General features: G+C 42.9%; 1 long non-coding RNA gene across 1 annotated transcript, besides 1 other annotated feature; it reads right to left on the minus strand.

Annotated features, from left to right (window-relative positions):
- Positions 1-2139: 2139 nt before the first annotated feature.
- LOC105369847 (uncharacterized) lies at positions 2140-9450 on the minus strand. The gene is made up of 4 exons (XR_945110.4): positions 9170-9450; positions 5957-6077; positions 3082-3190; positions 2140-2365 (listed from the first exon to the last, which is right to left on the minus strand). It is a non-coding gene; the product is annotated as an uncharacterized LOC105369847 (long non-coding RNA).
- Positions 10517-10811: a silencer, noted in NCBI's record as "tiled region #1339; K562 Repressive non-DNase unmatched - State 22:ReprW". NCBI's record gives its function as "represses a minimal TATA promoter and a strong SV40 promoter by Sharpr-MPRA in K562 cells {active_cell/tissue: K562}" and the evidence as "EXISTENCE:reporter gene assay evidence [ECO:0000049][PMID:27701403]".

Raw genomic sequence — 14756 nt, forward strand, 5'->3', positions numbered from 1 at the left:
CTCCTTTCAAGCTATGGAAGTCCTAGATGGCATCTTTTTCCAATATAAGGCTGTTTTGTCTACATTAAAAACCTGTTGTTTAGTGTAGCTGTCTTCACAAATTATCTTAGCTAGAACTTCAGGATAACTTGCTGTAGCTTCTAAATCAGTACTTGCTGTCTCATCTTGTACTTTGATGTTATAAAGATGGCCTCTTTCCTTAAACCTCATGAACCAATCTCTGCTGGCTTCACACTTTTCTTCTGCATCTTCCTCACCTCTCTCAGCCTTCATGGAAAGGAAGAGAGTTAGGGCTTTGCTCTGGATTAGGCTTTGGTTTAAGGGACTATTGTGGCTGGTTTGTTCTTTCTCCATACCAACTAGAAGGCTGTTTCCCTTTCTTATCATTTGTGCATTCTCTGGAATAGCACTTTTAATTTTCTTCAAGAACATTTCCTTTGCATTCACAACTTGGCTAACTGGTAGAAGAGGCCTAGCTTTTGACCTATGTCCGCTTTTGACATATCTTTCTTACTAAGTGTAATCATTTCCAGCTTTTGATTTAAAATGAGACATGAGACTTTTCCTTTCACTTGAACACTTAGAGGACATTGTATGTTATTAAGTGGCCTAATTTCAATATTTTAGTGTCTCGGGGAATAGTAAGGCCTGAGGAGAGAGAGATGGGGCAACAGCGGGTTGGTGGAGCAGTCAGAACACACACAACATTTAACAATAAAGTTTCGGGTGTGGTTCTTGGTGCCTCAAAACAATTACAGTGGTAACATCAAAGATCACTGATCACAGATCACCATAACAGATATAATACTAATTTTTAACATTTGAAATATTGTGAAAATTACTGAAATAGAAGCACGAAGTGAGCACCTGCTTATTGGAAAAATGGTACAGACTTGCTTGACACAGGATCTCCACAAACCTTCAGTTTGCAAAAAATGTGATATCTGCAAAGTGTGGTAAAGTACAATAAAACGAGGTATGCCTGTACTGTATAAAAAATGGATTGGAAAAGGGAGGGAGTAGTGGCAAGGAAGTCCTAAGACTCTACTGGGACACTCCAAACACAAGGCAGGGAGGGCCCACCAGCTTTCATCCAGGTGCTACCAAGGAGCAACTGAATAAAAAACCATTATTCGGCTTTTTAAAAATGTAGATCCCTGAGTCACACACAAGACCTCTGTTGAATCAGAATCTCTGGGTGTGGGGACCAAGTATTTACATTTTCATCATTCTCTCCAGGTAATTCTTAACTCATTAACTAATTTAAATAATTACATATAGAAGAAAATAGAAGATCAACTAAGTCAGAGGTCAGCAAACTTTTTCTGTAAAGGGCCAGACAGTAAATATATTAGGTTTTATAGGTCTAAAGAATTTTAGGCTTTGCAGTCTCTGTCACCAGGACCAGTTATATAATTTGTAAGGCCCAGTGTAAAATAAAAATGCAGAGTCCCCTTTTTAAAAATTATTAATATCTGCAAGATAGTTGCAGCTGAGCGTTAAACCAAGCAGGAGATCATTCTAAAGGCTGGGGCTTTCTATGACCATACAGGTCTCACGCCTGTGAAGCCAGCCCTGTCTATTACAACTGTTCGCCCCTGCCATTGTAGTGTAGAAGAATCCATAGACAAGTAAATGAATGGGCAGGGGACATCATGATTTGGCTCAGGGCTGTTGTCTGCCAACCCCTGAAGTAGACCATCTTTTAGCATGTCAGCATGCTCATAATATTCACAAAGTTTATGAAATGCTAACATAAAAAATAGAAAATAAGCCAGGCATGGCGGCTCATGCCTGTAATCCCAGGACTTTGGGAGGCAGGTAGATCACTTGAGGTCAGGAGTTTAAGACCAGCCTGGCCAACATGGCGAAACCCATCACTACTAAAAAATACAAAAATTAGCTGGGTGTGGTGGCATGCACCTGTAATCCCAGCTACTTGGGAGGCTGAAGCAGGAGAATTGCTTGAACGCAGGAGGCGAAGGTTGCAGTGAGCCGAGATTGTGCCACTGCACTCCAGCCTAGGCAATAGAGCTAGACTCCATCAAAAAAAAAAAAAAAAAGAAAGAAAATAAAAAATAATAAAAATAAAATTGTTTATTATTTACTGAATAAATACAAATGCATACAAGGGTTAACTTAGCTAGGTAAATCTTCAAACGAATTTTATTTATATTGGTATTTTTACTTAATGCAAGAGAATGAAAAAGTTGCATTGCATGGAGAAAGAAACAGGGATGCTTAGATACCAAAAGAACATCACGGTTCAGGACGTCTCTGATGCAAGCCTTGTTCCGGGTTTATCTCCCATCTATACATCATAACTCAGTTCAAATTCTTCAAAGAAATGTATAATCTGTTCATTCTACAAGATTATCCAAAAAGTAAAGACAGTTTTTGCATTTGACTCAGAAATCAGATTATGGCAATAAGGAATTTTCTATCAGAGTAATCTAAGAATGATTTAGAATTCAATTGAAATTGGAAAAAAAATAGCAACTTCCAACCAGCAATATCTAATCAGCTTTTTCCCTGATGTAACATTCCAGCTATAACACTGTATGTTCTACTGTGTCTGACATGGTATTACTGTCTCCTACCAAAAGGCCTTAGCTGCTCTCTCCACTAATAAAATTAAACCATTAAAAAAAAAAAACCAAGATAGTATATTTAAATGTAATAACATTTATGAAAAGCGACTAGCTCAGACACATAGCAGGTGGTTTACTTTACTCTCTTTAATGATAAAGCCATACAAAACAAGAATTAAAAGAAAGGCATTATCAGTTTATCAGAGGAAGAAAAAAATGCTTCCTGGCATTTTTTCCAGTCTTAATTATTCTGGTGCCCATGGCCATGACTGTTTTAGAAAAACATATGCTGCACAGCTGCAAATGCAAACCTGATTACCTCTAAATTAACAACATGTAGGAGGCAACACTTGCAGCTGTGAGAGAGAACCCCAGTGCAACACAATCCCCCTAACATTTGTAACTGTTTATTTTATTATAAATATCTTTAAATAATCACAATAAAAATCCACAAAGAGAGATGAAACACAACAAAAGCAATAAAACTCACCATTGCCACTTCTTTTTCTTGACCAACCACTTGGGGTCATTATCATGTGAGGCCAAGTTGTTTTTCTTTGTTGATCCTCTGGCACTGAAGACATGGTATCTTTCAGCAGCTGCAAGAATCACAAAGGAGAGACTGCAGAGTCTCTCCTTCAGCAGCCAGGGAGCTGGCATTTCCAGCCTATACACCTCACGTCAAACACGGGAAGTTGGAGAAGAGAAATCACAGCTGGGCATTTCTGCTTAAGTTTCCTTTTTTGACAGCCAACTAATGTGCCATGTAATGAGAGGTCAGAAATCAGTCTGGGGGGTGGGGGGTCATTTCCTTGAGAAATAGCATTTCTTTCAACATGCATCAAAAGGAAGAAAAAGAAAGAAGGTTGTAGGTGACTTAGGGTCTGAAGCATTTTTGGTTTGGCCTGAACGAAGACTAACACCTGAGTAGGGAAGAACAATTGGTAAATTCATCAATCAGAATTTTGCTGAGCTCAGCTGGGCACGGTGGCTCACACCTGTAATCCCAGCACTTTGGGAGGCCAAGGCAGGTGGATCACAAGGTCAGGGGTTCGAGACCAGCCTGGCCAATATGGTGAAACCCCATCTCTACTGAAAATACAAAAATTAGCTGGGCATGATGGTGGGCACCTGTAGTCCCAGCTACTCTGGAGGTTGAGGCAGGAGAATCGCTTGAACCTGGGAGGCAGAGGTTGCAGTGAGCCAAGATCGCGCCACTGCACTCCAGCCTGGGCGACGGAGCAAGACTCCGTCTCAGAAAAAAAAAAAAGAATTTTGCTGAGCTCATGTTCAGTGAAACTTATATATCAGTGGTGTCCTCCACACCATGTAAGAATCTTCAAGAGACCCAAAAAACTACAGCCATGAACCGAATAACAGACATTTTGGTCAATGCAGAAAGATGATAATACCATGTTTTTATTATACCTTGTTTTTTCTTTAGTACACCAGTACATACCATTGTGTTTCAATTGCCTATAATATTCAGTACAGTAACATGCTGTACATGTTTGTAGCCTAAGAGCAATAGGCTGTACCATATGGCCTAAGTGTGTAGTAGGCCGTGCCATCTAGGTTTGTGTAAGTACATTCTGTGATGTTCATATGATGAAATCTCCTAATGGAGCATTTCTCAGAACATATCTGCATCATTAAGTGATGCATGACTCTCTATATAAATGCTCTATGCTTGACCTAGAAGCTTTAACTCTATCGTTGTTGAGGAGGTAGAACATATTCTTATGAAACCATGGAGGACTGAGTACTAACTGATTTGGTAAAGATCCTAAATGCTGTGGAATTGGAAGAAAGAGGAGAGTAGCGAGCAAGTTATGACTGTAAGTAAATTCCTTAACCTCACTGAGTTCAGATTCCTCATCCATAAGATGAGTATTATGATGCGCACCTCATAGATTGTTGTGAAGATGACATGGGATTATAGACTGGCACATAGTAGGCCTGCAAATTTTAGCTGAATCTCTATCTGAAGCAAATGTCTGGAGAACCCAGTAGGGGAAAATATGAGTGTGTGAACATGGCATTTTTATTTGGCAGCAAGGAGACTGGGCCAGTAAGAGCAAAGGATTTGTGTCAGCCTGTACCATGAGGTCCAAGGGCAGCAGCGATTGTAGAGCCAGGTATAGTGATAGACTGTTGTCCATGAAGGCAGGAGAACTAACTGCTGGTGTGTGACTTAATAAGGCAGAGGCTGCCGGCTTTTCTCCAAACTTCATGGTCTTGTCGTGTACCTGGGCATGGGTGGATCATGTGCTGAGACTCCCTTGCAGCTAAGCGTGGTCATGTGATTGTGAACCAGGCAACAAACATGGGTAGAAATAATGTATTCCAGCCAGGCACGGTGGCTCACGCCTGTAATCCCAGCAATTTGGGAGGCCAAGGTGGGCAGATCACCTGAGGTCAGGAGTTCGAGACCAGCCTGGCCAACACGGTGAGACCCCCATCTCTACTAAAAATACAAAATTAGCTGGCGTTGGTGGTGCGTGCTGGTAATCCCAGCTACTCAGGAAACTGAGGCAGGAGAATTGCTTGAACCCAGGAGGCGGAGGTTGCAGTGAGCCAAGATCATGCCATTGCACTCCAGCCTGGGCAAAAAGAGCAAGACTCTGTCTCAAAAAAAAAAAAAAAAAAAGAAAGAAAGAAATAATGTGTTCTGCTTCAGGACTAAGCCCATAATAGCCTCTTCTACAGGTTCTCCCTCCCTCTTTTCCTCTTCCAGCTGACATGGACAGAACTTCCAGCAGGACCTTGAATGTTAACGCATTACAGATGCCAGAACCTCTGTCTACCTAAGGCCCTCAGTGACTTTGTGAAGCAGAGTCTCACCTCCAGGCTGGAAACATCCTGGACTATTACATGAACAAGAAATAAACTTCACTGTGCTGCTACTTTTAGTAGGTCTTTTTGTTACTGCGATGTAAAATAACAATTCTAGCTGATGGAGCTAGGGATCTGCATGACGGAAACAGTGCTTTAACAAAATGGCATACCTGGGATTAAAGAAGGAATAATAAAATCACTAGCATTTATTGAGTGCCTATTGAATGCTTTAAATAATAACTTACATAATTCTTACTAGATGCCAGGAACTGTTGCATGCACTTTATGAATATTAACTAATGTTAGTTCTCTGAACTCTATTAGGTGGGTACTACCATTGTTCGCATTTCACAGATGGATAAACAGAGGTATAAAGTGTTGAAATAACTTGCCCAAGATCACATAGCCATATATAAAACCTCATTTGGGTCTTCCAACAACTAACTCTATGAAGTAGGTGTTACCATCCCTATTCTGAAGATGAGAAAACCAAGACTAAGAAGTCTTGAGTACATTTAAGGACATACCGCAAGGAAGTTGCAGCCACTGTGCTTGGGTCCCGGGAACTCCAGAGCCTGTGTCCTCTCACCCTGCCACACTGCCTCAGGGTCCGCAAGTCAGGAGCTCAACCTGGAGGCTTCTTGGGAACTAAACAGACAGAGGGAAAATGTTATTTACCCTTTATTGGCAAAGCTAATTATTCAGTGGGTTAATCCACCTCCCCATCTTTCATTAGATTTATTGCTGCTTTCCAGCAGAATAAATAACAGGCTTGAATTTCACCAATCTGTGAGAACCTCTTACATTTCCTGGGGGGATTCAAGGCTTTTTTTCAGCGTTATCCTATGAGAGTGGCTCAAACTGAGACAGGGGGCCTCCTAAGGCATTGAATTAATAGAGCGATGGGTTCATTAACAAATCTTTAAGAAGCTACTTTATAATAAGTTGCCTTTTCTTCTATTTTAAAGAAAATCAGCAGCAACAACACAAAAAGACATTGCAGGCAGGCCCCCAACAGCTGTCCTTTGTTGAGTACTGGGCGCAGCTGGCAGGCTTGTCTTCTGCTCTGGCCTCGTTTCTACACCTGTGCCTCCTCCCCGGCAGCTGTCACTCTCCACCTGGTCCCCACCCCTTGTCCCATCCAAATCAGGATGGATTTAAATAAGAAATTTTCAGCCACACTGTTTGATTATACAGTAACATGAATGCATTTTAATTCATTACTTCCACAGTATTTGTATTTTAAGGCTTTTATCTACGTCTGATTTGGGAGCAAAATCCATAATTCCCTATTAACTGAGATTTATGTAGTCCCCTGACAGGTAGAGAGCTAATTATCTGGAAAGCCTCTACTAGACCCCTCAAATCACATTGATTGATTGATTGATTGATTTGCTGGTAATTTCATTCAGAGCAGAGATTGTATCTTACTCAAGTTTTATCATAGACCTTATCAAAGTTCCTGGCAAGCAGGAAATACGCAATAAATGTTTATTAAAGGAAATTAATAAATGAAAGAGTGATGATGAACTAGAATGACAAAACAGTGGTTTCCTGCCCCTCAGATACTCTCTCACACACACACGCACACACACACAAGTACATGCACATACAGGCATTACACATACACACACATACATATCACACACAACACACACAAACACACAAGTGCATACATACACACAGATACCATACACAGCACACCATCGACATACAAGTGCATGCATATACAGACACCACACATACACACATACACATCACAAACGCACAAGTGCATACATACAGGCACCACAAACACAAACACACATGCACACACATGTGAACACACATACAAGTACATGCATACACACAGACACTACATTTACATAGACATCAGACCGACATCACACACATGCCATAAATGCATGCTACACACAGACACCATACACATCACATACACATATACAGAACACACACATCACCAAGACACACATATGCACACACACACGTGCATGCATACACAGACATCACACACATACATATCACCCACACACATACACACATGCACACACCCCACACACACGGTTTTCTAAGGACTGGCTCAGGAATAGCTGCAAGGGACCCCTGCTTGGAATAGGAGATAACAAATGATGCTAGCCCTTGTCACCAAATTCCTTCAGAACAGGAATTCTCCGCTCTCCTCCCCTTCACTGGCAGGAGTACGGCAGGGCTCCTTCCTACATCTCCCGGAACCACAGGTCAGTCTACGGCAGGGCTCCTTCCTACATCTCCCGGAACCACAGGTCAGTCCAACCCTCCTGTTGCTCAAGACACTCAGGCATATATTTTGTGCTTCTACAGCACGTAAATTCCCTACAGTCAGTACTGAGTGTTTTGCTAGCCCTTACTCTGTCATTCTCAATTAAACACTGTTACCTCTTCTCTTATCTTCACCTCTGGTAATGCAGTCTCTAACAAGATGTTGTGAAAAATCACTGTGTAATTAACAGAGGCATTATGGTATCCTTGACCTTAAATCTAGTGATGTACCAGGTAAATAAAAGTAGAATAGCAACAGCTGATGTATTTTAAGCCTTTACTATGCCATTGCTCTATACTCACTTCCTTGTTTAATCCTCCCAAAAAATCATTAAGGTATGTGTTATTATTCTTGTTCTTTTTTATAGATGAGAAACTGAGTCTTGGAGGCATTAAATCGCCCGCACTCACACAATGGGCAAGCTGGAACTAAAATTCATAAAACCTGACAACAAAGTAAATGTTCTTACTATCAGTACACCAACTATTCTGAATGCACCAGTTATTATCTGGTATAGCGGAGAGAATATTGGCTTGGAGTCCAAAGACCATGGTTTAAATCCTGATTTTGCCACAGGCTATTTTGGGCAAGTTCCTTAACCTCTTTATTTCCTCATCTGTAAAGTTCAGATAACAATAATTAATTTATAGGTTTATTGTAGGCATTACAAGAGGTAACACATGAGCTGGGTGTGGTGGCGTGCACCTATAGTCAGCTTCCTGGGAGGCTGAGGTGGGAAGATCACTTGAGCCCAGGAGTTCAAGTCAAGCCTGGGCAACCCAGCAACACCCTGTCTCTTAAAACAAAACAAAACAAAAAAGAGATTCAAGCACTTTGGGAGGCTGAGGTGGGCGGATCTCTTGAGGTTAGGAGTCCGAGTCCACCCTGGTCAACATGGCAAAACCCCGTCTCTACTAAAAATACAAAAAAAGTAGCCAGGCATTGTGGCATATGCCTATAATCCCAGCTGCTTGGGAGGCTGAGGCACAAGAATCACTTGAATCCAGGAGGTGGAGATTGCAGTGAGCCGAAATTGTGCCATTGCACTCCAGCCTGGGTAACAGAGTGAGGCACTGTCTCAAAAAAAAAAAAAAAAAAAAAAAAAAAAAAAAAAAAAAAAAGAGAGAGATAACATACACAAAGCACTTATTACCATAGTGTCTGACACCAGGAAGGGGTCAGTTACAGTTAAAGTCTCCTTCATTTTTCCTACCCCACTGTTTGTAGCCCTCATCCATTGACCAGATGTCAGAGAAAAATATATGAAGTTTTCTGTGTGTGTCCCCAAAAAACTAGATCACCTCAACCTGTTGACCAAGTTGAACCATTTTAAAACAAAAACAATATTTCTATCCCATAGGAAACACAGGGCAGATAGTCTTCACCAGACACTGCAGGAAAGCAGGGATAGAGAGGTGGTATTTGTCCTGCACAGACCTACCCCTCCCTACTGGTTGGTGACACCTCATGCAGAGAATTTTATGCAGCCAGTCACTCTTCCTCTTCTCTTTTAGATTTGAGGCACTCTTCATGAGAATCATCAAAGCTACTAATTCCTCCAGTTATTGGCACATGATGTATTGAAAGCTAATGATTCTTGACTTCTTACAGATACGGTCAAGAACAGCGAATGCTTCCTTTCTGCTTATTAAGAGCACAGAAATTTTGGATAAATGTAAAGCAGCATAAGAAAGTTGCATCTATATAGAAGCAGAGTCAAGAATGATTGTATCATATGGTAAAATAATTAAAACAGTTGATACCTATACAGGGGTTTCAATTACCTGAGTGTTTACTTAAAAGCAGGTTTTACATCTAGCTGATAGAGCTAACTGTCCCAATTCTTAATATTCATTTAGAATTTAGACACAGTCAGGATTAACACCTGCTGAAATATGATATTGTATCTTGGCTCAAGAATAGATTGCTTGTGAAATATAATGACTGAATTTCAGGTAAGCAAATGCAAACAGAAATGTCGGTCTATTCAAACTTCCTTTCCCTGGCTTGAGATTTGTTAATTTAATTGATATAAAGCAATACTCTATTGTGCTAAAAATCATGGATTTTTTTTAAAACAAAATAGTTTTATAATAGAAGTAGAGACCATAAAATGTGTTTATGCGCAGTATTTTACCCAATACCCAACATACGGTAAGCAGTCACTAGCCAGAAGCCACTTACAATACTTGCAGAAGTACTAGAAATGATAATAGTTGTATCTATCACTTATGTGCCAGGCACTAAATATATTTATTTATATACATTTATAATTTCAAAACAAGGCCTATCCACAGATCAAGATTATCATTACCATTTTACAAACGAGAAAACAGGTTTAATAAAATATTAAGTCCACTAAGCAGTAGAGCTGAGATGTGGAGTCTAGAACTAATTCCACAGCTTGCCTAGGCCTTGCTCTGCAACACCAGGCTGTGCTGAGCAGGATTAACTGGTCAATGAGCAAGGTTGTCTCAGGACCTTACCCACTGGAAAACCAACCTGTTTGGACATCAAAGGAGACCCAATACCCTGGCCATCTTGGCCTCTGCATCCCCTTTCCTCACATCCCTGCCACCTCCTTCTTTTCCACCCTGGGAAAATCTGGCTGAGAGATGGAGAGCACTGGGGCTGAGGAGAGGGCTTGGGAGGCTGGAGGTGGGTTCAGACATGGCTCTGGGTAATAGCACATGTGTGTTTCTTGATTAATGTCAGAATGCTCTGGCAGAAGGGGTGCTGTGAGTTGCCAAAAGCCAGGAGGGCATTTTCCTCTTTGCTGAGTGGCTGATGCTCAGAGACACATCTCTATTCTTTGAAGCTGGTCTGCTTTGTTTACAATTATGCCCTAGTCATTAGCCAACGGGGACTTTGGGAGTAGCTTGTTCTGGGAATACTTCCTGTCAGGTTTTTCCCAGCCTGTCTTTGGAATGCCTCTCCAATCCACTTCATGACTCCAGGGGTGGTCCAATGTGCCCAAAGGGACTCTGCCTTTGTGCTCAAAAGGATTCCCAGCACTCAACTTCAAAAATAGCTTGGGGCTTACTAAAACCTAATTGAAAGAGTCTCTGTTTTTGCTTAAAAACACAAGTCTGGCCTGGTCTTTACAAGTGACTCATAAAGAATTATTTTGCTACTTGCTTTTTAAATTACATGTCACTGTCGGGTACTAATCTGTACGCTTATTTTGGAAACCCTGAGAAATGGCTACTAGGGTTTCTCTATCTGTCTGAGGAATCTTCAAGCCTCCAAGTAGAAGCAGCAACCGGACTTTGGTCTTGACAGTCAGACACCCAGGAGACTGGACTTAGCACTCCTGAGCTAAGAGGAGACTCAAGGCTGTCCTGCTATCCTGGAAGAGCAGAGGAGGAGGAAAGAAAGAAGACACATTGGTTATCAGGAACCACCCTGAGGGAAAGGCAGCCAAGGACAGGGCCCGTAGAGGGATCCAAACTGATGGACACTTGTGAATAAATATCACACACGATGGAGTCTCAAATGGCACCTGGTCCAGGCCCAGGGAAGCCTTTCTAAGTTCCTCAGGGGATGACACTGTAAACTGGAAAAGCCAGACTCACTTACGATGGAGGCCACAGCAGCAGCCATGGTTGATAGTAGCTTTGTCCATTAAGGGTTAACACCAGGTATTCAATGAGCTGCCTAGACCCTGTGGGGAAGGAGATGAGGAGACGACAATGAGAGGGTGGGGAGATCAAACCAAATACTATTGTCACTGTTGCCCAAGTCACAGTGATTTCCATGGTCAGGGGCTGGGATCTGGGACATTCCGATTTCTTACTATGCTATCAGTGAGGACTAGGTTAGCTCCTTTCCCCTTCCTGCCGCCTGTGCTTACCCCTACTGAGCTCCCCATGAGGCCTCCATCTTTTCTTCTTCCTGCCTCCTGTGCTTACCCCTACTGAGCTCCCCACGAGGCCTCTGTGTTTTCTTAGCCGTGAGTCTGACTCTCCACTGAACTCCATTTTCATCTCCAGGTTCATTCCTTTGCTGGTGATGTGCCATCACATGCTCCAACTGTACTTGCCACCAGGGAAATTGGAACTGCCCCATTCCTGGAGTTCTAGTGCTCTTGAGCCCCAGGCATTCCATGAGAGAAGCCTCCTTCTGGAAAGTCCCATGAGCACCTCATGCCGGGTGGTCAGACGTGCACCAAGGGCTGATAGTGTGAAGTGGTGTGGGCAGGGGGAGACACAGACCCTGGGCAGGAATCAAAGATAAAGCTTCTATCCACATAACAGGCAGATTGTCCAGATGTCCCACGCAAGGGCCTGGAAGAGATGAGGTTGCAGGCAGACCAAGGAGAAGGTGGAGGAAGGGAGGGGAGGAAGTACTGAAACAGAGCTCTTAGAAAGATGTTCACTGCTGGGCAACACCATCACCTCCTCTAGAAGGCATGGATAGCACCAAGTAAGTGTGAGAGCTTTGCCATCACCCTTCCAGGCAATTTGCTTTTAGTGTCTTTGTAACACTTGGAGTTTGCATCTTACTCAAAATCTCTCCCCGGTCTGCTTCCCTGGCAAAGTCTGTCTTGCTTTTTGCATCTTTGCCCCCTCTATAACTCCTACATCCCTTAGGAACCTGGTCTTCCTGGGAAAGCGTCTTCCACACATACCCCACCTCCACCTGCCATCTCACCCGCTACACACACTCAAAAATTCCCCAGCCCCTCAAACAGGGGGTAAGAGGAATCCCTTAGGACAAAAAGGTGCATCTCCTACCTGAAGAGCAACCTGGATTCTGCAGACTGAGGGAGGCGGCTCTGCTTCAGGGCTCTGCAGTCTCTGAAGTAAAATGAGATTCAAAGCTGGGAGGAGAAGGGTCATGGTCAGCTGCCCCTTCCACACTCCCACGCTGAGCCTCAGCATCTCTCCTGCCTGAGTGGTAGCCCTGTCCAAATGCCTAGGGCCTGGGCCGTTGAGGATTAGGCCTGAACCCAGTAATCCCCAAGGAGCTGCAGAAAGCCGACTTGATGGGTCTCCTGGTGATATCATTGCAGCCAGAGAGCACACACAGGGTGCAAGCAGTCAGATGAGACAGCCAGGACAGGAGGGGCTGCAGCCCTTCCACAACACCACAAAGACCCTCACATGCTCATTTTGGCAGGGCGCAGTGGCTCACACATGTAATCCCAACACTTTGGGTGGCTGAGGTGGAGGATCACTTGAGCCCGGGAGTTTGAGACCACTCTGGGCGACATAGTGAGACCCCATCTTTACAAAACATAAAGTTAAAAACATTAGCTGGGCATGGTGGCATTGCTCCGGTAGTTCCAGCTACTTGAGAGGCTAAGGTAGGAGAATGGTTTGAGCCCAGGAGTTTGAGGCTGCAGTGAGCTATGATTGCGCCACTGCACCACTCCAGCCTGAGCAACGAGTGAGATCTTGTCTAAAAACAAAACAAAACAAAAAGCTCATTTTTAAATGTTTATTATTTTTGTTTTTTGTTTTAAATAGCGATGAGTTGCCCATGCTGGCCTCAAACTCTTGAGCGAGAGTGATCCTCCTGCCTTGGCCTCCCAAAGTGCTGGGATTACAGGTGTGAGCCACCACACCCAGCCAGAAAGTTCTTTTTAAAAGGGGAGAAACAACAGCTCCAGAAGGGGCTTTGATAAATTATTTAATTTAAAAAAATCAAATTAAAGTAAAGAGGGTAAAGAGCTGGGTGAAAGCGAGCTAGGTGAAGAGCTTGCGTGTCCATCCTCCTGCCGAGATGTGGTGAGCTTGCCCTCATCCCATCAGCTGGACAGCTCTCCACTGAGCCTACCCATTCACCATGATTCTTGCTTTTCCTCAGCTAAGGCCCTGGGTGCAGGCTTAGCACTGTGGGGGGCCTCTGGGATGATGAGATGTTCTCATTAATTCCTCAGGCAGCAGTGTTTGCAGTTGGGAGACATGACTTCCATCCCGCTCCTTATAAAGTCATATGTTTTTCTTGAATAAATGCTAAATCAAACTAGTCTTTCTGTTTTTTCCCCTCAATTCATAACCTCATCATTCCACAAATAAAATGATGCCTTCAAAACCCACAGACTGTTTTGCAGGGTGGTCTGGGAGAGATGCCGCCTGAGCCGGCCTATGGCTCCAAACTCATCGCTGGAAGATCACAGCTGCCCTCTCCCCGGCCACTCTCTTTTCATGAGGAAAGGTGAGCCCGGCTGCCCTTGGTCTCCCCCAGGCCTGCTTACATTAAAGGGTTGGGAGTTAGCCTCCTGCCCTGAAAGGAATAGGGGTTCTGGAGTATCTCAGATCCGTATCAAATCACAGCTTTGCCGCATAATTGCCCTCTGCTCTTGGGAACTTTCTCAACTTCTGTAAGCTTCTGTTTTCTTATCAGTAAAAGGGAGATAACAATACCTATCTCGAGGCACTGTTATGATAAAAGACCTGTCATAAAATAAATGCTTAGAAAATGGGAACTATTATTGTTCAAGTTTTATTATATTTCCTCAATCGTTATTCTCTCCGTTTACATAATTGAAGTAAAACACTGCTCATTAGAGTGTGCAGGTAATAGAGGACTTGGCTTAAATAAATTTTCTGCCTAAATTAAGTCTTTTAAAACCATCCATTTTCACTTTTAGGTCATGGTGTAGAAAATAATTCTAGATCAAGTTAGAATATGTTCCGACCTCAGCAAGCAACCACGTACTTTGATTATGTAGCACCCTTCATTATTCTAAGGAGTTCTCATTATACAGGTGGGTTGAAGACACACTGTGTGTCAAAAGAACCAAAACCAAAACAAAATCCTATAAAATAGCAGGTCTTATAGTTTCCTTCTTTTTCCCATAGGAAGGAAGGGGAAAATCACAGAGTAAAACCAGATGCTTTTGTAAATTGATGAAGATGTTTGCTGCATGTGGCTCCAAGAGATTGAAATTAAAAGGGCAGGCTGGGTGCAGTGGCTCACGCCTGTAATCCCCACTTTGGGAGTCCGAGGCAGGTGGATCACGAGGTCAGGAGCTCGAGACCAGCCTGGCCAATATGGTAAAACCCCATCTCTACTAAAAA

Source organism: Homo sapiens, chromosome 12 (genome assembly GCF_000001405.40).
Source record: "Homo sapiens chromosome 12, GRCh38.p14 Primary Assembly".
Taxonomy (NCBI): Eukaryota; Metazoa; Chordata; class Mammalia; order Primates; family Hominidae; genus Homo; species Homo sapiens.